Source organism: Homo sapiens, chromosome 16, assembly GCF_000001405.40.
Source record: "Homo sapiens chromosome 16, GRCh38.p14 Primary Assembly".
Taxonomy (NCBI): domain Eukaryota; kingdom Metazoa; phylum Chordata; class Mammalia; order Primates; family Hominidae; genus Homo; species Homo sapiens.
In genome coordinates this window covers 85,899,026-85,923,214 of record NC_000016.10, presented here as the reverse complement: position 1 = coordinate 85,923,214, position 24,189 = coordinate 85,899,026, and the positions used below count along the sequence as shown (strand labels likewise).

General features: G+C 49.6%; 1 protein-coding gene and 1 non-coding gene across 5 annotated transcripts, besides 10 other annotated features; both read right to left on the bottom strand.

The window, feature by feature from the left end:
• On the bottom strand, positions 606-24,053 carry IRF8 (interferon regulatory factor 8). 4 transcript variants are annotated; one of them, XM_047434052.1, is made up of 10 exons: positions 21,969-24,053; positions 20,326-20,998; positions 20,026-20,200; positions 14,042-14,225; positions 11,557-11,645; positions 9,979-10,084; positions 8,695-8,742; positions 4,412-4,798; positions 2,991-3,106; positions 606-2,109 (listed from the first exon to the last, which is right to left on the bottom strand). In XM_047434052.1, exons 2-10 carry the CDS (start codon positions 20,352-20,354, stop codon positions 1,933-1,935), a joined length of 1,311 nt encoding a protein of 436 aa, XP_047290008.1. In that variant the 5' UTR covers positions 20,355-20,998; positions 21,969-24,053; the 3' UTR covers positions 606-1,932. The 4 variants fall into 4 exon arrangements, with proteins under 4 accessions (XP_047290008.1, NP_001350836.1, NP_001350837.1 ...); NM_001363907.1 differs by lacking the exon at positions 21,969-24,053 and having other exon boundaries at positions 20,326-20,385; NM_002163.4 differs by lacking the exon at positions 20,326-20,998 and having other exon boundaries at positions 609-2,109; positions 23,992-24,053.
• Positions 4,799-4,868, bottom strand: MIR6774 (microRNA 6774). Its single transcript, NR_106832.1, has one exon. It is a non-coding gene; the product is annotated as a microRNA 6774 (primary transcript).
• Positions 7,677-8,342: an enhancer, noted in NCBI's record as "H3K4me1 hESC enhancer chr16:85948479-85949144 (GRCh37/hg19 assembly coordinates)". NCBI's record gives its function as "activates a minimal SCP1, AML or CMV promoter by ChIP-STARR-seq in primed H9 embryonic stem cells {active_cell/tissue: H9 hESC(primed)}" and the evidence as "EXISTENCE:reporter gene assay evidence [ECO:0000049][PMID:30033119]".
• Positions 9,395-9,444: an enhancer, noted in NCBI's record as "active region_11298". NCBI's record gives its function as "activates an Ori minimal core promoter by ATAC-STARR-seq in GM12878 lymphoblastoid cells {active_cell/tissue: GM12878}" and the evidence as "EXISTENCE:reporter gene assay evidence [ECO:0000049][PMID:35858748]".
• Positions 12,641-12,710: a silencer, noted in NCBI's record as "silent region_7828". NCBI's record gives its function as "represses an Ori minimal core promoter by ATAC-STARR-seq in GM12878 lymphoblastoid cells {active_cell/tissue: GM12878}" and the evidence as "EXISTENCE:reporter gene assay evidence [ECO:0000049][PMID:35858748]".
• Positions 12,841-12,890: an enhancer, noted in NCBI's record as "active region_11297". NCBI's record gives its function as "activates an Ori minimal core promoter by ATAC-STARR-seq in GM12878 lymphoblastoid cells {active_cell/tissue: GM12878}" and the evidence as "EXISTENCE:reporter gene assay evidence [ECO:0000049][PMID:35858748]".
• Positions 12,981-13,060: an enhancer, noted in NCBI's record as "active region_11296". NCBI's record gives its function as "activates an Ori minimal core promoter by ATAC-STARR-seq in GM12878 lymphoblastoid cells {active_cell/tissue: GM12878}" and the evidence as "EXISTENCE:reporter gene assay evidence [ECO:0000049][PMID:35858748]".
• Positions 13,896-14,105: an enhancer, noted in NCBI's record as "active region_11295". NCBI's record gives its function as "activates an Ori minimal core promoter by ATAC-STARR-seq in GM12878 lymphoblastoid cells {active_cell/tissue: GM12878}" and the evidence as "EXISTENCE:reporter gene assay evidence [ECO:0000049][PMID:35858748]".
• Positions 14,226-14,305: an enhancer, noted in NCBI's record as "active region_11294". NCBI's record gives its function as "activates an Ori minimal core promoter by ATAC-STARR-seq in GM12878 lymphoblastoid cells {active_cell/tissue: GM12878}" and the evidence as "EXISTENCE:reporter gene assay evidence [ECO:0000049][PMID:35858748]".
• Positions 20,280-20,339: an enhancer, noted in NCBI's record as "active region_11293". NCBI's record gives its function as "activates an Ori minimal core promoter by ATAC-STARR-seq in GM12878 lymphoblastoid cells {active_cell/tissue: GM12878}" and the evidence as "EXISTENCE:reporter gene assay evidence [ECO:0000049][PMID:35858748]".
• Positions 22,708-22,767: an enhancer, noted in NCBI's record as "active region_11292". NCBI's record gives its function as "activates an Ori minimal core promoter by ATAC-STARR-seq in GM12878 lymphoblastoid cells {active_cell/tissue: GM12878}" and the evidence as "EXISTENCE:reporter gene assay evidence [ECO:0000049][PMID:35858748]".
• Positions 23,885-24,184: a silencer, noted in NCBI's record as "silent region_7827". NCBI's record gives its function as "represses an Ori minimal core promoter by ATAC-STARR-seq in GM12878 lymphoblastoid cells {active_cell/tissue: GM12878}" and the evidence as "EXISTENCE:reporter gene assay evidence [ECO:0000049][PMID:35858748]".

The window sequence follows — 24,189 nt, the reverse complement described above, 5'->3', positions numbered from 1 at the left end:
CACTCATCTGTCAGCTCACAGAAACCCAAACAGCCCCCCATTCGGAATAAAAACATTCTCCAATGTTTTCATTCCATAGGATCAGTCTAAGTCTCCGTATCTTTTTGCTGTTGTTTAAGGGATAGGTTGAAAAAGAAAAATCCTTAAAACAGGAGTTGGGTGAGGTGGCTCACACCTGTAAACCCAGCACTTTGGGAGGCTGGGGGAGAGGTTGGGGCAGAGCACATGAGGCCAAAAGTTCGATACCAGCCTGGGCAACATGGTGAAATCACAACTCTAATTTTAAAAAAAAAATTAGGCAGATGTGGTAGCGTATGCCTGTAATCCCAGCTACTTGGGAGGCTGAAGCACGAGAATCGCTTGAACCTGGGAGGTGGAAGTTGCAGGGAGCCGAGATCGTACTACTGCCCTTCAGCCTGGGTGACAGAGCAAGACTTTGTCTCAAAAAAAAAAAAAAATCCTTAAAATCCCAGTGCGATATTGTTTCAGTCCAGTGCACTGAATTAACACTGCACATTGCAGCAGTAACTCCCCCTTTACAGAACCTAGAATCTGGTGAGAATTACATCATATTTGACAGTGACTAAAAAAATACAGTACACAGCAGCTTTAAAAAAGAGCATTTTATTTTAATAAAGAATAAAAGAGATCAATATACTGTTTTAATGGATACAAAAATAAATATTCATTCAGCATATTAAAGATATGTGCTTTGACATTCATTTGAATTGGAGATTCAAGCCTATTGTTATCTTATGAACACTTCAGCAAACAGGTCTGCCATTCTTAAAAATATAATGCTTTGTTGGACAAAAGGGACAAGCCACGTCCCCTGGTCCTCTCCTCTATTCGCCTGTGAACTCCATCCACACGTAAAGGACCTCTGGGTCTGACTGTCCCCTCCACAGGCATGGTGCTGGGAAAAGGAAACAGGCATATCTGGCTTTTCAGATTTTAAACCGGAAACTCTCACAGTCACAAATCCACCATGAGACTTGGGAGATTGGATGAGCTGTCTCCCAAACCCTAACACCTTCCACCTTCTCAAAATGAAGGCTGCCCTTTCACTGGGAGGTTCTGAATGCGGGATTGGTGCTGACTCAGGCTGGGCACAAAGGAGAAAGGAGGACATGGAAAATCCGACAATTCGAAGTACAAATATTTCAAACACATGTGAAAACCATTTGGAAAGAAGAAAAGAGGTATCTGGAATGATTTCATGACAGAAATGAAAAAAATAAATTTAGTTCTAATCTTCCTGGCAACAAAGCCCCAGAGGAGAAGGTTTCATTGTCTGAAGATAAAAACACACCCGTTTGCCTGGATATGAACACATATTCCTGCACCAAATTCTAGAAAGAATATACTTTCTTCTAACAAGCCAAGAGTTTTTCTTGTACTCATTAAAGGGGGCTTTAATCTAAATATTTTTAAATCTTATTAAAATGCATAAAAGTAAAAAGATATTTCACATAGAATCAAGCCTATGAAATCATAAATCTATAACTCTAACAAACGATAAAGACAAAAACAACCTTGTTTTCACAAGTTGATTTTTAAACTCCAAATTCCTTTATCGAAGCAGCTATCTGCTAATATTACTGAATGACAAGTCTTTGGAAATGATAGTTAACCGAAAATGCAGAAAGAATCATAGCAACTAATGATAATGACGGGTAAAGGATAGAAAATAAAATTTTTAGCCACAGGTTGTGGTTACAGCATCCAGGCCATCACCGACATCTCGGCAGGGCTATGCCGCCACTTCGTATTAAACGTCTACTCCTCCGAGAATGCCCTTATTAAATTAAGTGCAAAGTAAGGCATCCCACCCCAGACAGAGGGATCCACATTCTTTAATCATGATGCGGGCCACTGTAACAGGGAGATGGATGCAGGACGCAGACGGGGTGGGGCGCCCAAGCGACGCACTTAGACGGTGATCTGTTGGTTTTCTCTGAAAAATGATCTCTGGTGTGAGGCACAAATATCTGGAAACATCCGGAAGACCTGGTCTGGCGGCGGCTCCTCGGGGGCCTGCATCACAGAGCCGGCTCCACAGCTCTTCCCAGCCTCTTCTGCCAGTTGCCGGACATACAGCTGCTCAATCTAGATGGGAGGTGCAGAAAGTCAGAGGCAGAGGCGGAGGCTCCAAAGGGGGTGGGCACTGTCTTTGACCCTAGCCAGGTCCTCTGATGACCCCAGTGCCACGTGAGTCCCAAGTGAATGAGCCAGAATGCCAAGGAAGGGCAAGCAGTACTCCTGCCAAAACTGTTCCATACTCCCCAGTACTGTCCCAGCTGGGACAGCCAGCACCCAGGATCCCACCATTAGAGATTCATTCCCTTGACTACATGAAATAAGGGCTGGCAATGCCCTAATCTGTCACTTAGACCTTCGGGCAACTGAACAGGTAGAATCTTTCTGGAGAAGAGGCTTAGATTTAAAAACCAAAAAAGAAAAAAGAAAACACACACACACAGACTGTGCGCGTCCCAGACACCAGAAGATGGCTCGGAGATGGCAAGAATCCGCTTCCCGCATATTGAAGGTCTTGCCCAGGCCTGCCTCCTACACAGGTGGAAACTTGTCCTTGTGTCCTCTTCTCCAGCCCAAAACTTGATCCTTACATGACAGGGCCAGGAGACCTGGATGCAGGGCTCAAAGCTGCCCAGACTGCCGGGCGAGGTGGCTCACGCCTGTAATCCCAGTACTTTGGGAGGCCAAGCTGGGAGGATCACAAGATCAAGACCATCCTGGCCAACATGGTGAAACCCCATCTCTACTAAAAATACAAAAAATTAGCTGAGCGTGGTGGCACGGGCCTGTAGTCCCAGCAACTCGGGAGGCTGAGGCAGGAGAATCACTTGAACCCGGGAGGCGGAGGTTGCAGTGAGCCAAGGTCACGCCATTGCACACCAGCCTGGGCAACAGAGCAAGACTCCATCTCAAAAAAAAAAAAAAAAAAAAAAAAAGCTGCCCATACTTACCTGCACGAGAATGAGTTTGGAGCGCAAGGGGGCCATATCCGGAAACTCTTCCCCAAAGCACAGCACCACCCTGCCGTCAGGAAGCCGGCCCTGGCTGTTATAGAACTGCTGCAGCTCTGGAATGACACAGGCAGAGGGTGTTTGCAAGCAAGGCCGAGATGACCTCCAACTCCCGCAGCAGCAGGGCTGGGGGATCAGGAGGCCCAGGGCTTGTAGCATTTAGGCCAGGGCACCATGGGATCTCAAACTGGTGGCCCTTGGGCCAAATTCCAAGCAAGGAGCTGTTCGTTTGGCCATTCCAGGTTGTTGCCGGGATTTTAATGCCTCGTTTGAACGCCTCTCCATGGGCACAGCTGCCCAGTGCTCTCTCTTATCTCTCAATTCGTGCATTGCTCTTACCTGCCTGGCCCTTGGAGGCAACTGAGTTGGCAACCCCGACCTGAGGACACCCAGGGAGGGCTGCAGCCCTCACCCGAATCTCTGACAGCCAACTGAAAGGGTCTCAAAGTGGGCCGGTGGACCGGCAGCAGTCGCCTTCCCTGGGAGCTCATTAGAAATGTAGAATCTTGGGCCCCGCCTCAGACCCATGGAATCAGAGGATGTGAGGTAGGCCCGGGAATGTACATTGCAGGACGCACTTCTGTGCCGCTCTGCCTGCTCAGGGGTGATAACCGCGGCCTCACACCTCCTCACTAGGGGGATTCCTCAGGGCTTATGCCCCTGAGCTCACACATACCCCTGCACCCGCCCTTCCAGGCCCCTCCTCTGGCAGTTCTCAGGCCAGTGGCAGCTGAGACCTGACACTATCTCGGGCTGTGCTGCTACAGGGAGAGGAGCAGAGAGCATGGGGACGTGGAGAAGGGAGACGCCATCCTAACCCTCCAGGAGACACCCAGGCTGGTATCCTACACATCCTCCCTACAGCGTAACGAAAGCTAACAGGCAGCACTTAGTGTGTGCAGCTGCCATCCTGAGCACTTAGTGTGCGGAAAGTCAGCGTGTCTCAAAACCTGTACACAGATCCCCAGGGACCTTGCTAAGATGCAGGTTCGGATCTTGTGGCTGGAGCAGGGCCTCAGACTCTGTGTCTCTAGCCAGCGCTCAGGGACCATCCTTGGAACATACTCCAAGGTACATGAGGTTAAGTTCCTTTACCCTCCCGACAATCACCTGATGAGGGTACTGATTCTGCACCCCCACTGTACACATGGGGAAGTTGAGGCACAGAGAAGCACCCCAGGATCGCTCAGTGGAGAGGGCAGAGTGCCATTCAAAGGAGCACCTCCTTGCCACACCATGCCCCTCACTCCTCCTCCACATCCCTCCATGAGACCACAGGGCCACCCTGAGCTGCAAATGGCACACAGATAGGAGGCGTGATCTCTAAGATGTGGGGGCAGCAAGGTGACGACGGTACAGACCTCGGAAGAACTGGCTGGTGTCGAAGACCTGGACCACCTCATCACGCTCCAGCTTGTTGGGCCTGCCTTTGCACACCACGGCGTTGCCGCTGCAGAACACGCGGCCCTGGCACAGCCGCTTGACGAACACGCCCTGCCGGCTGCTGTGCAGCAGCACCCCGCGCTCCAGGTGCCCGAACAGCTTCCGCGTCACCTGCCTCTGTCGCTCGCTGGGGATGGCGTCGGCCGGCGGGAAGCGCACCAGCTCCAGGCCCTCGGGCCCATACAGCTTGGTGCCGGGCAGCCCAGGCTGGCTCAGGGACAGGCGGCAGCCCTCGGGGCAGGTGGTGGTGGCCTGGCCCACCAGCTTGCCCCCATAGTAGAAGCTGATCACCATCTGGGAGAATGCTGTGGACAAGAGGGACACGATGACGGTGCTGCGGGGAGACATACAGGGTCCCTCCTGCCCAAGTGCACAGTCTGTCTCACACCTACACGGGTAACTCTTTGTGTGTCTTGAACCACTTTGATATTCTGGGGAAATCCATGTACTGCTTGTAGAAGTAATGTTTTTATATGCATGAATAAATACACAGAATGACTAAGGAAACCAATGACTGAACATATTAACTACAACAGTGTTCTCTGTACTTCTTCACTGACTCTTTAAATACAAGGTCTAGAGAAGGTCTGGTAACTGTTGTAATTTACACGTCAAGCTGAGGGCAAACGATGTTTCGACAACTCATTTCTTATGACAATACTCCGTCTCATAGGCACTGCCAAGGGCACTGCGGTCTGCTGCCTACATTCATAACAAAAGGAAATGCTCAATTTAAACCTGAAGTTAAAGAAAATAAAGACATAATCTTTTTCTCAACAAATTCACAGCGCCCTTGGTATTTCCTGGATTTCAGATTAAGAATCTCTGCAAAACCCTTCATCCAAATCTGTTCTCAGGAAAGAGTCTGAAAAACACTCAAACTAAAGCAGGGGTTCCCCAAAAGTGGCACACACAGAATAATGGGGGAGGGGTGATACATGTAATCACAAGATTATTCCATCTTCAATATTCTTCCAACCTCTGATTACCTCAAAAAGCAAGCCTCAGTTTGGTGCTGATAGCTCTCTAACACCTAACACCTGTCAACCTCCCTTTTGAATAATGGCACTGAACTTAGGGCTCCAAATTCAGGGCATTGTCAGAGGTCAAGACAAATTCAATGAAAGACAAATACAATCTTAATCAATTCTAGCCAGACAGTATTACCTACTTATACCAGGTGCCACAGGTCTTCCTTTACAGCCAATGATAGTGGGTTCTCATTTAAAATAAACTTAAGTTTTATTTTAAGATTAAGATTTGAGGAAAAACATGATGTTAGTAACAGTCCAGGCTGTGAAAACCAATTGTGACACTGGACCTCAAGTGACCAAAGTTTGGAAAACACTAATCTAAGGTAGGAATGCAGATAACATGTAAATGCAGGGAGGTATCTGCATTTTAATTGCCTTAAACCAAAAGAATTACATACGCTAGCAATGAGCTTAGTGAGTTTGCAGCTCCTTCTAAGTACCCCAGACCGGTTCGAGGCTGCCTTGTGGAGCCACACAAGTTGTGAGGTGCCTAACTCCACGGCGCCCCCTAGAGTTGTGCAAGGCTGACCACATCTGGGGAGGCCCTGAGTCCATCTGCATTCCCTGCTGACACTGCTGGGCACTCAGAACTCCTTGGACCCTCCCATTGGGCTCTGCTCCCTGCCTTATTATTTGACAACCCACCATTCACGGGCTCCATTTCCAGCCATGCTGGAGTTACGCAGGTTCTAGAATCATGCAGGGTAGGAAGCTAGAGCTGCAGAAGCTCTGGTCCACCTCATTGATTTGACACTTCAGGAAACTGAATCCTAGATAGGGTCACCCAGAAGGAAATGGCAGCACTGGTCTCGCTCTTCCCTGCTCACCATCTTCCCCGCTGGTCTCGCTCTTCCTCACTCATCATCTTCCCCCCACGCCAAGTCTGCAACTTCTGCACTGCCTGCGGACTCCACACACTCCCCTCCCTTTACCCTGAAGCAACTTTCGAACTTTGTTCCAAATGAATGAAACGCTTCAGGCAACTCCGTCACCCCTTTGGCCCTTTGCCCTGTCATTTCCGGGGCCTTATCTTGGTACCAGCACCTCTCAGTCATGTGAACTGGCAGCTTCACCCGGAACAGCTAAGTGCTTCAGAGACGCCTAAGCAGGAGTGTCTTAGTGACCACACACCCCAGAACGTCTTATGCTAAGAGAAGGTTCCAGCTGTCAGGCTTGTACCTGACAGGTGAGAAGCAGCTCACCAAGGGCTGCCAAGGTGAGGCAGGTGAGCCTTCTGCAACAGTAAGGGCCTGCTGCGACCCAGCCCTGCCCTTATAGAGCCACTCACCCACAAGAACAGCCTTGCTGGGGAACGGCCTGACCACAGAGGCAGCAACAAAGACACCCGCAGCACAGACCCTGCAGCCCACCTGCCTGACGTGCGGTCCCAGCCCAGCTGCTGCCCAGCTGGATGACCTGGGGCAAGCCGCTTCCCCACTCTGTGCCTCAGCTTTTCATCAGCAAAGTAGAGATAAAAACAGCATCCACCTCACTGGGCTGCTGTGAGGATTATCGGAGCTTGTATTTGTGCTCGGCACAGGTAAGCACCAGTTAAAGAAACTGGGTAACAGGACAAATGCTTATCTACACAGACAAGACTCCTGAAGTTATAAACCACAGACTATGGTCTACACAGCTCATATCAGGTGCTGTGCCCAGGGCTTGGGACCTACCAGCACATTTAACCCTGTAAGGTAGATTATTATTATACCCATTTTCCAGGTAAGGAAACTGAAGCATGGATTTACATAGAGGTGGGGGCGGGGCTGGACAGAGGTACCAAAGCTCACAGCTTCTAGAAGGATGTTCTGTGCATGAGGCAGTGGCTATGACCCTGCTGGACTAATTCAAGGACATGCTCTCCCCAAATTGTGCCTCTGCATCTCACCGAGATGGCTCAGTTCTGTGCCTGGCTACTCCACAGCCCCCGGAAAGCACTGGTCAGCAGACTCCCAGGCCATAGCCCAGTGGCTGGCGAGCCCGGAGGCTTAGCCTCATGACCCAGGCCTCCCAGAACTGAGACCCTGTGAGCATGGCGGCTGCCGGGCACAAGGAGGCCTCAAGAACAGGCTCCAGCCAGAGGCCTGCGCGACCTGGATGAGATCCTGAACCTCCCAGCCTCAGTCTCCTCATCTGTGAAGCCGGAGTGAAAACAACCCCCCAGCTCAAAGGGCTGCCAGGAAATAGACAAGAGCTTCATGGACAGGGCATTGCCATCTCGACAGTTTTCCTGCCTGGGTGAGCACCGACCTCTGCTACCCACAAAACTGTCCCATGCAGTCCTCAGCCAGCACGCTTCTATCCCTGCCCCATTTCCTCCCCTGCCCAGAGGCCCAGCCCTAACGTTCTGTGGCCCATCTGATGAGACCAGCTGCTCGCCTCCCACAGAACCAGCCAATGCTGGAAGATGCCCCAGCTTCCTTGTTCAGAAGATGCCGTCACCACGCCTGAGCGTCACTTCCAGGGGCAGCTGGCAGAAGTGCAGCCAGGGTCCTTAGCCGCTGAGACTACACACAAAGGCCACCTCTGCCCACCGCGGGGAGGCCCCCAGTCTGGAGCACACAAGCTACCTGAGCCCGCGAAATGGGAACAGCTGCATCCACCTAGAGGTGGTGGGCAGGGGAGCCTGAGATGAGGCTCTGAGAGGCTCCACCACTCCACCTGCAGCCCCAAAAGAGAGGCAGCGCTGGGACAGACGCTGGCCTGTCCCTCACTGTCTCTCCTGCACAGTTACAGCCTCAAAGAGTACTCTGTCTACTTGCTGGTCCAGTCCAAGAAAAGTGGCCTCAAAAGAGGCCACTCGCCAGCTCCTGACCAAATGGTGAGGAGGAGAAATTGGGGCCTCGACTTCCACACCAGGTCCTGCTCATCCTCAGAACCGGGCCTAGACTTCCACACGAGGTCCTGCTCATCCTCGGAACGGAGCCTCGACTTCCACACCAGGTCCTGCTCATCCTCAGAACCAGGCCTAGACTTCCACACCAGGTCCTGCTCATCCTCGGAACGGAGCCTAGACTTCCACACCAGGTCCTGCTCATCCTTGGAACCAGGCCTAGACTTCCACACCAGGTCCTGCTCATCCTCGAAACCCCGCAACCCTGCTTGGGTTATCTGGGCTTTGTCTTCAAACAGTGCCCACGCCCCTCTCAGCCCGGACCACCCCGTACCTGAATGGTGCGCGTCGTAGGTGGTGTACCCCGTCACCAGCGGCACGCCTGCAGGAGAAACAGAAAAGCAAGCTCAGAGCCACCCAGGTGTGGTGTACAGGGAGTAACCCCAATCGCTCCTTCTCCAAAAGTCCCTTAAAAGGCTGCACATGGCGTGCCAGAGGCTCCAGGGAGCACAGGCTTCCGCTGAATTCAGTGCTTTTCCCCACCAGAGCAGAGAGCCATTGTTTCACAAATGCAGAAAACCAGAGTGGCAAGTCGGGGGGACTTCCTCTATGCTGTGGGATTTCTGACCATGTGTCAATGTGACACTGTGGGGCCACATTTCCTTCCCACCTCAAGCACTTACCCCCAGAATACCACTGGACTGCATACCCACCACCCAGGGCTTATCTCTGGGGGAGAGCCTGGGGGTGCAAGCTAGCTTTCCGGATGGTGTTCCTGCAGCACAGACAGAGGTGCCTTTCCAGGGACCTCTTACTCGACACCCAAGGCCTGGCAACCTTCAAGGCCTCCGGGGCCAGCTGCCACCTCCCAGACTCCCACAGGGGATGTAGGGCTAGGGGGAAGACGCCGAGGGAGGAAGCAAACACATTCACCGGCTGCAGAAGCCTGGGCCTGGCGGGGGCGGGGGCATTTCAAGCAGCTGGGGGTTCTGAGTGGCTCATCAAAAGAGAATCAAAGGATGAATGCCTCACTTAACCCTCGTGACCCCATGGCGCAAGTCCTGGTTTCTCTGTTTTACGGATGAATAAACTGAGGCTCAAGATCTGTAACTTCCCAGCGTGGGATTCAAATCTAGGGCTCTGAACAAACTTCCTGTTCCTGGTCTGAGTTCTCCTCTCCTCCAAATGCCCTGGGCTCTCTTTGGTTCTGAGGGGGTCCTTAATGTCGTAACAGACTGGCCGACCTAAGGGAGTACCCAGGGAGGGGGCGCCAGCGTGGCCAAGAGCTGCATCTTCCCTCTGGCCTTACACAAGTTCACTAGACCCTCTTCCCTGGACTTTCCCAGGAGCGTGGGGAGAGCTGGCATGGACATCACCTAGGGAACAAGCAGCTTGTGCCCTCCTGAGAAGCAGCGGAGAGCAGGGCCAAAGGCACAGCTGGGCTCTGCCCTCATGTTGGGAAACCAGGGCCATCGTTCTTCACCTCTCAGGGCTGAGCTACCTTTAATGAGACATGGATCATGATAGCAACAACCACCCCCACTCCGTCCCTGGCTGGTGGAATGCCGTAAACCCTTCAGGCCATGCCTGGTGACAATTCTAGGCCACCCACCCTCACCTGTGCTGGGCTGCTGCGCCCACCAGTCTGGAAGGAGCTGACTCCGACAGGCCTCCGGCGGGGAAGGGCTCCTTTTGATCATCCCCATGTAATCGTCCACAGAAGGCTGCACAGTCAGGGGAGGGAGAGGAGGGCAGCTCAGTCACTGATCTCCCACCTGGGGCTCCAGTGTTTGTAAAAATGAACAGTTCATGTGTAAGTAAAACCATATTGTCACCTTTATCTCAGGAGACAAAAGTCAAGTTTCACTTTGCAACCTGAAAGGCCCTAGGCCTTAAATCTACCAGGCTTAGCATTCAAACCATGTGGCCAAATTACTAGGCTCTTTGGGGGCCACTAATAAGTTTCTTGGCCCTTTCCACGACCTGCCTGTTGCAGACCCAGTGTTCCAGATTATCCAATTGCCCTCAACGCCCTGGACACGCAGACAAGCTCTGAGACACCAGTGAACAGTGATGCTGGCCAAAGGCTGCCATGCTTTCAAGAATCTCGCTCAACGAGCCACATGCAGATGTTCAATCTCTGGCCCATTCCTTAAAGGAGGCTGATAAATCCAATTATGAAATGTTTTGAAATTGCTTTTCTTGTGACCCCGGTGTGGCAATCCGATTATCTCACTCTCTCAGCTGAGTCAGCAGAAAAGCCTTCTACAGAAAACAGGACATTGGTGGAGGGCCACGAAGCCAAGAATTCACTCAGTCGGCTGCCAAAGACCACCCAGACACTTGGCAGCTGCCTGTGCAGAAGAGCAAGGCCGTTCGGGTAGGTTACATTCTGTTATCTTCATTCTCTGACAGCCAAGCTACTCTTAAGGATTCCATTATTGCTATGTTATTAAGAAGAAGAATTTATGCAGTACTCACACACAACCTTTTGCAAAGGCTGCACGAGGTTTAGTCATGCAAATGTCCACCTTGTAATACCCATGAAAAGCATAGTTAAGAGGCCAAAGACAGAAGAAAAGGGCATCCCAATAGCTGAAATGGGTATACAAAAGCCATGTATTCTTGCCTAAGGAGGCCCCGATTATGCTCTCCCTTGTAGCCTGTTAGGAATTTATGTGCAATGTGAACATGCTTGGTTATCCAGCTTTCCAATCCGTTAAGGAATAAAAACTGCACATTAAAAAGGAAGCAATCAAATAGCCATGAGAGCTGGTACAACAACACCCGCCATCATGACAAGCGCAGGCAGCAAGGAAAGTTTACATTTTGTTCTCTGTAGCCTGCTAGGAAGGCAAGGGAATTCACGATGCCATTTAAAAGACTGCTGTCCAAAGTGTTCGAACAGTTTGGAGCTGGAAGGAACTTCACTGACACATAACCGGCAGCTCAGGCCCAGCCCTAGGGATGAAGGAGGGATCTGGCGTGAGGGGTTGACCTGTCGGCAGAAGCTGGCCTGGGGAGGGGGCGCCCAGCCAGTCCTTCCGTTCCAGATCTGTACAGGTGGAGATGCCACTTCCTCAGCGAGCCCGAGGGTCTGGCTGCCTTCATACAGCAAGAACGGTGCCCCTCCCTGCCAGAAGACATGAGACTCCTCCTGGCAGGGCCAGACCCCTGAAATGCTGCCTCTGCTTACCTCCTTGATCAGCTCGTCGATTTCAGAGCGACCGCACTCCATCTCTGTAACTTCATTCACGCAGCCAGCAGTTGCCACGCCTAGTTTGCCTACAGAAAACCAGACAAACACCATGACACATGGCACGGAGGCATCACAGCCTTTGCTGAAGCCATAATCTACTCTGTAAATGCTGAGTTTAAGGAAACATTAAGTTAGTGAGTGTCTTCATTGGTTTGGGAAAGGCACAGAATTTTTTTCCCATGCTTCAGTCATCTGATCAGCAAAGTCAAAAGAGAGAAGTTGGTGGTGGTGGTGGTGGTGGTTGTTTCTGCTAACACTTTTAAAGGATAAAGACAGCACTTTGGTCTCTTTCTTCTATTTTCTGAGATCCAAAATGAGTCTGTATCAGATATACTTTACAGCAAGCATTTGCTAACTTAAGAAGGTTACATTTATAAGACAGGGCATTTGAAAACACTCACCGATTTCCTGGCAAAACGTGTTGGCAGGTTGGGGTCTTTTTTGTATTGCCAGTTGGCAGGAAATCTCTTTTTGGCCTTTCCAAATATACACATGTGCATCAGTGCACACAGCCATGCACACACACACACCGCAGCACCCTCACTGATGCCCAGTGGGCACCAGCCGTAATCACAAACCGCCTAAAGGTGCACAGTGTCCACAGGGGCACGCTGGGCCAGCCTCTGCTCTTTCCCTTCTCATGCCGCTTCCTCAGTCGACAACTTACCTTATGAAGTTTATCAGTGTGAGACGTATCACAACCAACACTTACAAAAATTCATTATTCCCAGTGACCTACAGAATTTACCCACTGTTTCCTCCTGGCTGAATTTTGATTCCATTTCGATAGATTAAAGAATTCACTGAGAAGCTACTGATGGGGAAGTAGGGAGCAGGTGGGGCGCCCACCATGGAGCCTGCAAACCACTGAGGTTAGAGGCGAGTGGGCCCCTGTAGGCAATTATGCAAATGCTACATTGCTTCACCCCTGAGAACCTCCTGCTGCTTCTTTAACATCACTAGCAGGTGATGCTGGCTGCACCCCATGCTATAAACAAGTTGGGGTCACCTGCCGGTTCAAGCCTGACTGATCTTGGGGGTGGCAGTAGGGGCCAAAAGAAACTTCTCTATTCCTTCAAATCACACTTTACTTTTTGGTGATAAAAAAAATTGTCCAAAACTGGGAAATGAGGCAAAAAGATGACTGCTTAGCCTTTCAGGGTCACCCCAGACTATTATATAGAGGTTTCCTCCTAAAGGGCACCCGATTCTCCAAGGGAAGGTCAGTTTGTTGGCCTTACTATTTAGTATTGACTAGGGTTCACGCTCAGTAGAGTTAGGTGCTAATTGCAGACGATTAGGCTACAAACGCCCCAAACCGCAATTGTACTGTCCGGGTCGGGCATCGGCTTTGGCTCAGCTTTCTCGTTCATGGGCCACATTCACCAGCACCTCGGATTCTCTGTCCACCATCTTTACCATCATGCTGCCTCCTTCATGACGATTACACAACTCTCTGACACAGATTCACTATAGATTTGTTTGAATCACCATTTTAACTTCTTAAAAAATTCTAAGTCAACACCCCCACAGCGGGAAGAGTGCAAACTTCAAACTTCTGCACAGCCCCAAGAAGTTTTGGGGGTTTCTGTTTCTTACAGGCATTCGTGGACTACTCAGAAGCTTAGAAGGAGAAAGCCAGAGTGGGTTATTCTAAAAGCCTCATCAAGTGGCTAAGAAAATCAATGTGTTAAAAGCATGTTCTAAACCAGCGCTGGTAATTAGGTTTTATCTCATAAATCAGCTACAATTCATGGCAGCGGCACAGCACAGGGCTTTGAGAAGCCTTCTGAGGCCAGATCCCAGCTCAGTACTTTGGGATTTATTTTAGTGATGTAGGACCAGGGTGCGGCATGTTTTTGCTGTCCTGCTTTAATCTGTCACAAATGCTTTCTTGGGATTTGAGAGCTGGAAGAAACCTCAGGAATGATCACATCCCGGAGTTCCCAAATAACAATCAGGATCTAGTAACACACTGAGGCATATCCCATCTCCAACAACGAAGGCCATGGTGCCATCTTTGACAACTTCATCTGAGAGCTTTACTCCCAACCCTCATGATCCAGGCCTTCTGTGGTCACCATATTTTCCCCTGGCCTCCTCTGCAAGCTGCTGGAAAATGAAAGGATTCCTCATCAGAAACTGCTGGAGGATGCTTGTTCCTGTCCAGGGAGGCCCTACAAATGTCTGTGGTCAGGCAGCAAGTGGGGCACAGGTTGGGCAGCACCCAATCTCCTCCGCCCTTCCCTCTGAGGTCACTGGAAAGAGATCTCAATTTCTGCTTACACGAAGGAGAGAACTGCTTTGTTTAACTGAAACTATGTGCCCCAGACCCTGTGTCTACCCCAGACCCAAGTTCTGTGGTGAAGGCTACAGGCCAGGGCAGCTTCTGGAAGGTTTCATGCCCATAAAGGATAGTTACATTTTTGCTCTTCCTCAGGAACAATTCGGTAAACTTTGTATGGCTCGGAAATGTCCAGTTGGGACCGGTCCGTCACTTCCTCAAAATCTGGGCTCTTATTCAAAGCACAGCGTAACCTCGTCTTCCAAGTGGCTGGTTCAGCTTTGTCCCCTTCTTTAAACTTCCCTTTAAAAACTGCCCAGGCCTGAAGAAAGAAACAGAAGCACATTAAATTCATGGCCGACTCCAATCACAAATATCCGTCACCATGACCAGGACCCCACACATCCTTCCCTTCCCATGAATCTTTGTTGGCCATCAACTCTCATTCAATTTCAGGACCCAAAGAGACTCCAATCAGATGTCTTGAGTCTTTTCACATCTGGGGACCAGATGTGGAAAGACCCAAGCCAGGGAGGGGGTCCCCCAGGTTCATACAGCTGAGTCAGAAGTCGAACCCAGGCTGAAGGCTCCTCCAACCCTGGAGTGCACCTTTTAGCCAAGCCCTTGCCTGGCTGAAGAGCTGGAGACACCTGAGGTTTACACAGCACAAAGAGGAAGTTGCATATGGTTTCACCAGAGCGTTCAAAACAAAGAACAAGTTGTTGCTTTTTCAGATCAACCCCTAAAATTTAGCATGAAAAGGGAACATTTGCAAAAAGTCAAAATGGTCATCCATCGCCCTGTTACTTTTAATAGAAATTTTGTTTTGCATTTTTGCATTTATTCTAGACTTTTCCCCCCAGGTGCTGTTTAAAATGTAATGAAGTACTTTCCCTTTAATGTGTGTGTGTTTTTTTTAATAGATCTGTTTTCTGACTTTTCCAAACCTTAGGATCTGAACTAGGACCAGAAATTCAAAGCTGAAATCTTAAAGTCATAATGTAGAATGGGGCAGTACAGATTTTAAAAAAATAAGACAGGTGAATGGACAGATTTTAAGCTTGCAAAATTGGAATACAGACACACCAACTAGGAGGTAACCACAGTCAGATGAGAATTATCTTCGGTTTCAGGAAAAATCAGGCAGTGTCCTCCAGCCTAAAATGATAGGAGATCTGTAGGGACATCCCGATCCCATTCAGGAAAATGCAATTCCAAGAGGTAAGTAACTTTCGCAAGGTCACCCAGTCTGGGATTAAATGCCAGCTGTACCCACTTCAGGAAAATGCAATTCCAAGAGGTAAGTAACTTTCCCAAGGCCACCCAGTCTGGGATTAAATGCCAGCTGTACCCACTTCAGGAAAATGCAATTCCAAGAGGTAAGTAACTTTCCCAAGGCCACCCAGTCTGGGATTAAATGCCAGCTGTACCCACTTCCAACCCAACAGTTTCCCCACCACAGCAAGTGTTCTCAGGCTTAATGCATATACCAACCCCCTGCCCCTGGGAAGCTTGTGAAAATGCAGATTCCTGGGCCTTGCCCCTCAAGATTCTCACTGGGGAAGGGAGGTTGGGTCTCGGTAGCTGTCTTTTTTTATTTTTTATTTTTATTTATTTTAGTTTTTTTATTTTTTTGAGACGGAGTCTCACTCTGTCACCAGTCTGGAATGCAGTGGCGCAATCTGGCTCACTGCAACCTCCACCTACCAGGTTCAAGCGAATCCTCCTACCTCAGCCTCCCAAGTAGCTGGGACTACAGGTGTGCACCACCATACCCAGCTAATTTTTGTATTTTTAGTACAGACGAGGTTTCACCATGTTGGCCAGGATGGTCTTGATCTCTTGACCTCGTGATCCGCCTGCCTCGGCCTCCCAAAGTGCTGGGCTTACAGGCGTGAGCCACCGCGCCCGGCCCAGGTAGCTGTCTTTAGCCAGTATTCCAGGGATTTGGATTTAGCTACCCAGGAGACCACACTTCCAGAAACTCCATCATGCCCCCATGAGTCACAGCTCCTTTAAAATAGCCCAGACTGTTTTTCCTCTCAAAAAAGACAAGAATGCTTACTGTTCAAGGCCAATGCTGCCTACTTTGTTGATGCAAAATGTTGCACCTCTACCTGGGGTAAAGAGACTGGAAGAACATTCCCATTAGTGAGCATAAGTGGTAGTTTCCTCATGTGACATTGATGTAAAACTCCCCTCTAAAACTATTTCTTAAAGCACACGGTCTTTAATGCTCTCTTCATTGACTGCATCACTGACCGGGCATTAATTTGGGTTTTGTTGCTGTTGTTTATTTTTAAAGAAATAAACCAGCAAACCATGTACTAAATCAACTGTAGTTTCAAATTTTTATTACTTTAAATCAGGGTTTCCCCACCGTGGCAAGCCTGACATATCAGCTGGGACCCTTCTTTGTGGCGGGGTGGTCCTGTGGATTGTAGAATATTCAGCGGCATCCCTAGCCTTGACCCACCAGATGCCAATAGCACCCCTCCCCTAGCTGTGACAACCAAAAAAGGTCTCCAAACATGGCCAAGTATTCCCTGGAGGGTAAATCATGATACCTCCCCCACCTGAGAACCACTGAGTTAACCCACATCCCAAACGGGCCTTGAAATGCACAGATTTCATGGCAACGTTGTGATCCGCTGGTACACATACGCAACCGCGGTGCCTGCAAGGCACTGCCATACTCACTCGTTCACGCCAAGCTCACACTCACCCCACGAGCAAGTCCAGGCCACATCATCCATCACAGCAGGGCCCACGGCCAGGAAGCATCCAGGGCCACCATCGGGTACCTGGCTTGCCGCCTGCCCTGAACTCTGTGACACAGCAGGCACCTGGCCCTCTCCCAGCCTCTCTGGCCAGCATTAAAAGGTCAACTTAGCTTGATGATCTCTCGAGATCCTTCTTGAGCTAGAGCAAAAACTAGACATGAGAGTGATTTCAGGGCCCCCCCACCCCTGCCGCCAGCAACAGTCACTATGGCTCATTCAGCCTCCACCATAACTTATTTCTCCTGTTGACGCACAACTCAGGCTGACAGCACTGAACTAAGACCAGGAGGTCTTCCTAATTTAATATGATTGTTTCATGTTGCATTTTTTTAATTAAATGCTATTTTTCCCTTCAAGGCCTGCTGAATGAGAAATATCTGTGCTACTAAGTGAGCTTTAACTCATTCAGGACTGTTACGATGCCTGGAATAACCATGAATCATAATCCTCACTTAACTAGATTTTCCCCCCTTGTCGTCATGTCAAGAAGGTAAAGTACTTTTTAAAAATTAAATGAGTTGCTATCAGGGCCTCATCAGTGTACTCAGGGTCGGTACAAAATGAGCTCAATGTTTTTTCAATTTCTCTTCTGTGATCTATACCATGAGGCCGGCCTCAGGATGATGCCTGCAGACAATGAGGGATTTTCTGGTATAAGTGGCCCCTTTTACCATCCACTTATTACGGAAGAAACCAAACTCATAAATTTCTTTCTTAACTCCTAAATTGTTGAAAGGTTTTCTTTGAACAGTTGAAAGAAACAAGTGTCTACATAACCGGAAAATCCCTAAGATGGCTCTACCTGACCGAGGTTGACTTCATCCAACAGCCAAAGATCTATCCGGCCAACGTCACAGAGACAGGCCTCTCAGAGGATGGATGGGAAGAAGCATAGCTCAGGGAAGCACATGATGGGCTCTTGCTGGCGCCATGTCTCCACCGGCACTGGTGGCCCTCCCGATGGCCTCCCTGCTCCAGTGGGCACCCGCGTCTCCCTCCTGGCCCCATTCCTGCTGAGATGGTAGACTCATTTCAGATTGCCACATCAGGCGACTGCGTAACCAACGGAAACATTGGGAATCTTGCACATTTTTCTCAACACTGTTGAAACGGCCATGAAGAACATTGCATAAGATGTATAAATCTGGGGCTTTATTTCATTACCCCCCGAGCACAAGTTGAAGTAGGGAATGGGGTGAAGGGAGAAGCTTCGTCTCCGTCAGCATGCCACATGTCAGGGCTACACAGCCTAGTCCAGCACCCTCTGCCATGTCTTAAAGATGTTTTACTGATGTCCAACCTGCAACTGTGCCTTCAGCACCCAACACCTCTGGTTAAGTCTGTTGATCCTGGCAGTGGCCAGCTCTTATCAGGGTTCTTAATGGGGAGGGGAAGACTCTGCCCCACCAGGAGATATTTGGCAATGTCCAAGACATTTTTGATTGTGACAGTAGGGGAGGGGATGCTACTGGCATCTGGTGGGTAGAGGTCAGAGATGCCACTAAACATCCCACAAGGCATAGGGAACCCTTACAACAAAGAATTGCCCAGACCCAGACATCAACAGTGGCGAGGCAGAGAAATTCCGGCTTTTGGGGTTATCTATAATGCAGAGTTCCCAACCGACTGAATGGGACTCTGGCACTGTTTACATTTGCAGTCCTTCCCAAGAGAAGTTCACCATGATGCCAAAGGCAAAAAAAAAAAAAAAAAAAAGATCTGCAATCAAACAAGAGAGAAATCCACAATGGCACTAAGGGTGAGGAGGCAGGCAGTGGCATCACAAAACTTCTTGGTGCTGAGGCTCCCTGACCTGGGGTCCTTGATCAGAAAGAATCTGGAACGTGTGGGGGCACCAAGGGACCCCTCGAAAGTGAGTGCAAAGCGTTCCCTTGTCCCCATATTCCTTGGCGTGGTCAGTAATGGGCATCAGATTCTCAAGAAGATCAGCAACCTCAAATTGCAGATTTAACAGAATTACTGAAACGCACAGCCCCACTGCAAACATCGGTCAGGCAGAGACGTGCAGGACCAAAATGCATCTTAAGCTACCTTTGACCTATTTATGGTCCACTCTGGGGTTAAGGTGTGATCTTTTGTCATTTTTGTTCTCTGGTGTCAGGGGACAGTCATCTGTGGCTGGGAGTCCAGCACTGTCATGGGCTCCTACAGCCTTGACCCCCTCCACACCTTGTTTGTGGTCTCAGGTCTGATTCTGGCCCCCAACAACTCAGCCCCTTTCACCCCTCTCCCACACTCACTCTCCCCTCCCCATCTCTGGCCCCCAAATGCAAGAGAATAAGCACACATGGCAATGGCTTATAACCTGGGCTAGGACTCAGACTACGTGTAGTGTCCACACTGGCAAACGTGGAAGTCTAGCTTGACCTTGACCTTGGGCTCCGAATCTCCCAGAGGTGAAACCTGGACATCTGGAGCCTTAGAGATGCCCACACAGGACTCTGATGACCCACAAGGGATTCGATAGCCCAGCTGGTCTGCAGAGCTGGGCTGCCCTAATTCCTGGTTCCTCTGTCTGAATCTAGGTGTAATGGCAAGAAATCTCTGTTGATCAGCTATTCTGGAGTTAGGACCAAGGGTTCACAGTTGGGCCATCTTGCATCTGAATGCTGGCTCCGTCATACAAGAGCTGTGAGACCTCAACAAGTCACTTCTCCTCTCAGTGCCTCTATAGAATGAGGGTGGGAACAGCATCTACCACACAGGATCATGTGAGCAGAAAACAAGCCGTGGGCCAGGCCTGGCACAGAACAAACCCTCCATCACGTCTCTCCACGCATGGGGAACCGATTACTCTCAAGGGAGGTGAGACTATTTTTAGACATCTGCTGCAGGTTCACAACCCCCCACACGGCCCAGCCCCCAAAGGAATGACAGATGGCATCTCACCCTCCTGAGCTGGCCCTACAATGCCAGGCAGAAGTATCAGCTTTGAAAGAACAAGGACTGAAACCTTCCCTGGTATATGCATCGCCTCTAATGGAAGCCCGTGGGGAAAGGTCTTAGCGTGAAGGTCTCGAAGTATTTTCTCCCACTTGGCTCATCAGGAAAAGGAAGCAGCAGAAAAGAGAAGAAAAGAGCCTTCGATCTCCTCATCAGAATACAAGCGACCACAAAAGTGACTCCGTAATTCAAAAGATGTGAAATCAGCTCATGTACATGTCTGAGACACATTCAGCACTCCTGAACCAATGTTTGCTTTTAAAAAACTGGATTAATTTTTAAGTAAATGAGAAAGATGTCACTCAACATCTCCACTAGTCCATGAGGGAAAGGAGACACTGTGCCCACAGTGGGGAAGGGAGCTGGGCTCTTTACCTTAAAAATGGAGGCATCCACTTCCTGATTATAATCTTGCTTGCCAGCGTGTTTCCAAGGGATCCGGAACATGCTCTTCTCCTCATTCTCCCAAATCAGTCCTGGATACATGCTACTGTCAATCTGCTCGATCAGCCACTGTCGAAGCCGCCGACCACCATTCCGGTCACACATCCTTGGAAAGACAGAAATACACGCTGTGATATTACGGATATTGTCTCATTCATCACAGCAACCCAAAAACTGCTAACAGGAAACTCAGAGGTTTGCAGCAAAGGTGCTGGCTTGGGGGAAACCCACAGATTCAGGGACTCCGGGACACCTGCCATGAGAAGGCAATGCTGGCCTCCATGACCTCACAGCCCTGAGTGCAAACTGAAAGCTCCGTGGGAAACCTGCAGCCACCAGCAGCCCCCTGCAGGCCCCTCCCACTGTGCTGGCTGTGCTCCTTCCAGCTTTCATCTGCCCTTTCCTTTCAGGCAGATACAACCACAGTGAACAGCTCCAGTTTTAGCCCAAGACTGGAAGGAGAGGGGGAATCACTTTTACAGCACCAGGTTCCTTCACTGAGCAGCCCATTATCCGAAGAACCAACTGGGCTACCAGATGCCCAGCTGGCCCCACATTCCCTGATAGAATACTGCGTCCGTGCCGTCTGGGAAAGAGGAGGCCCTCAGGCCAGCCCATCTAAATAGCTGTTCCTTCACAGTGATAAGAGCAGCAGTTTGAGAATGAGACAGAACCGCGATCTCATTCAAGTCCCGCCACCGCTCAGCTGGGAGACGCTGGATCAGCATTTAAACTCAGGGCATCAGCTACCCAGTCCCAGATGCAGCTAACAAAACACTACCTGTACTGGTTGTAAGAGAATTCAGATGCTACACGGAAAGCAACTGAGACAGGGCCTGGACCTTACATGCCAGATGTCATTATTATTATCCAAACTTCCTTCCTGGGCAACTCCTACGACCAACTGAAAGATAGGGACAAGAGTGAGGAAATAAACTGCAGCTACCGAACAGGGCAAAGTTCACTGGGCTCCTCTTCCAGAACATGTCCCACTCTAGGGACCTAACCATCCCAGGGCACCCAAAGACATCCTTTGGAAGAACACTCTCACCCAAGCAGACAGCTTCCCCAACAGCACAGAGAAAGAGAGAGAGAACTAGCATGACCTATCGACTTAGAGCCAACATTTCCAAGAACAGTGCTGGAAATCCCCAAGACAGCTGGATAGACGCCCACCCAAAAAAAAAAAAAAATAGCATTTTTGTTCTTCTGATTAAAATGTGACCTCTTTGGGCAAACGAGTTTGAAACAATCAGCAGTAACAAGACATAACATCCCAAAATATGGTAGAGCCACACTGGTCCAGAAAGCAAAATATCAATCAGAACCTTCACAAGAAGTACGCATTCTGGAAACTTCAGCCACCCTGCAGGTGGCCATGAGACGGGAAACAGGGCCAGGTCCCAGGGAGGAGGAGGTGGGATTTCTTAAATTCCCCATCCAACAACCTCAGTTGTGCGTTTATGGATTTAAAAGGGGATGAGTTCAATTTTTTTTTCTTTAGAGACAGGGTCTTGCTCTGTCACCCAGGCAGGAGTGCAGTGGTGCCATCATAGCTCGCGGCAGCCTGGAACTCCTGGGCTTAAGCGATCTTCCTGCCTCAGCCCCTTGAGTACCTGGAACTACAGACATATGCCACCACACCCAGATATACATTTTAGAGACAGGATCTCGCTATGTTGCCCAGTCTGGTCTTGAACTCTCGGCCTCAAGTGATCCTCCCACATCAGCCTCCTAAAGTGCTGTGATTACAGGTGTGAGCCACTGCGCCCACCCAAATTAGACCTTGGTTTGAAAACTCTGAACTCTGGCAAAGGCTTTTCTCTAACCAGACCTTGTGACGTCACTTGAACCTCTCCCTGAGGCTTCCTCACCTGTAAGTTGAGAGGCTGTATCTCAAGAGACCCAGAATTCTAAAGCAGGCCACTGTGTTTATCATAAAGAAGGGACAGACTTGGGAGAGGGTACCTGAGAAGAGAAATGGAACACCAATACCAAAGACCCCCCCACACTCCCCGAAAACAAGTTAGCAGCTCTTTCCTGGGGCAAGGTAGAAAAATTTCTCCTAGATTGAGGAATGAGCTGCACAGAGGTGGCCAGAACACAACATAGGGGTTGGCTTCTGAGACTTTCAACTCCCCTGATTTCCTTGCTACAAGTTTCTTAAACTAGAATCCACAGTTCCTGAGCCTCCTGCAACCAAAAGCAAAATTTTGTTAGTACACGCATTTTTCTAGAAAGAGGGTCAACACTTTCTTATCAGGATTCCTAATGGATTCATAACATCTAAACTGTTCAGGACAACTATCTTGGTGATTTACAGGAAAAAGAAATTTTAAAAGGAAAAAGAGAAGAGTAAGTCATAGCATCTGAAAGCTGGAAAATACTTTAGAAATCATCTAATCCAGTCCCCTCTTTATTTAAGAGAGGAAAAACTGAGGCCCAGAGAGGCACGGCAAATACCGAGGCAGCCAGCGGACTGTGTTGGAACCCAGGCCGGCGCCCCAACGCCAGCGGCAGCTTATTTCACACATGGTGCAGAGAAAAGCCATAGTTACGTTACAAGATCTCTGCACATGTGCAGCCACGTCTGTGTGTCCTTCGTGGTCTCCTCCAAGATTCTAAGTAACATCAAAAGCCTGAGATTCTACTACAGTTATGATCCATAATGATTTATTAAACATTAACAAACGAATTCCACCAAATGCCCAGCCAGGAAAAATTAATAAGTCTAATCACATGTTTATAACTTCCTCTTCTTGATTTTGAGGTAATCTATTGGCCAAGCCCTATCTGCAGCCCTAGAAATGTATACAGCAGTCAGGCTTTCCAGGAGGGACGTGATAAGAGGTTGCCCTGGGCCCACCTAATCCAGATTACAGGTCACACCTGAGCTGGCAGCAGCAGACCCCACCCTCTCCCCCGCCTCGGAGGGCCCAGGGCACTCGCTCTGGCCTAGCATACCCGCATCACTAGACCAGAAAGCACCAAAGCCATTTCTCTCTCTGGCACCAACCTTCCTCAAGTGACTGAATCACTCCCAAATCTTTTCATAGAGGAAGCTGCCGTAACCCAAAAGGACAAGCTTTGAACTGTCATTTTAACTACCAGTTCTTACCTTTGGTTTAAAAAAAGAAAGTGGGGGGCCATTGGTTGGGGAGACTTCTTAAAATTCTGGAAAATTCAGTCTCTAGTTTCCATCCGTAAAGCCTTTCACAGCTCTGGGTAAGTAACACATCTCACCTTAGGAAAGTCTGTCCTATGTATTGGGACTCATTTTACAAACAATGTTCTTTCAATAAATTTTTTCAAACAATGCTTTTGTGAGCTGTGGCCCATATACAGACTCTCTTGCCAAGGACGACTGGGCTGTGATGGAAGCAAAGGCCCTCAAGCCAGACTCAGAAATCTTAATTGACTGTCATTAAACAGAATTTTAGAAGCAGTCTGTCCCCTCCTTCACAAACTAACCCTCAGTAACGACTGGTTATTGGGCAGTTCCACAACTCTGACCCTCCAAGCATTATTCCACGTGGTAGAATTTCAGTGGGATGATAGAGCGCGTTTCAAGATAGGGGGTTGCTATTGCCGTTCATTATATGAGCTCTCCTAACGTTTTCCATGTAAACCAGATTTAAAGAAAAATGAGATTTTTAAAAAGGCATCTATCTACCAATCTTTGGAAACAGGCAAACGACAATCAACGACTTGGGCATTCAGATTGGACTTAGGTGGCTGGAAAATAGGCAAAAAGCAGAGAGGGACACGGGTGGCCACTGAGCTGCGCCCGGGGACATTACGGTAGGTAGTTCCACCCCCACGCCCCGCCTGGCGTCGGGGACCCCGCGGGACCGGACCGCGCGGGACACGGGCGCCCTACCCGCCCACTGTGCCTACCTGCCGCCGTCCTGCCGCCGTCTCGCCGCCCGCGTTCCCACGCTTGCTGCCGCGCTCCAGGCGATGCGCCAGCGGTCGCGCGGCCTTAAAAAGGGTCGTGGGGGGGACGGGCGGTGCGCAGAGCGACGGCCACACCGACCAATAGCGTCAGCTTGGCTCGCGCGGCCCGCCTTCTTCGAAGTGCTCTGCTTTCCGAGA

Excerpts from the sequence above, each read along its gene's own strand:
- IRF8 (XM_047434052.1), bottom strand. The coding sequence starts at position 20,354 with ATGGCAGGTGTCCCGGAGTCCCTGAATCT. Across the intron at positions 20,201-20,325 it reads GTCCCGGAGTCCCTGAATCT|GATGTGTGACCGGAATGGTG; the intron begins GTGGGTTTCCCC and ends TGTCTTTCCAAG. Across the intron at positions 3,107-4,411 it reads CACCAGCCAGTTCTTCCGAG|AGCTGCAGCAGTTCTATAAC; the intron begins GTCTGTACCGTC and ends GTGTCATTCCAG.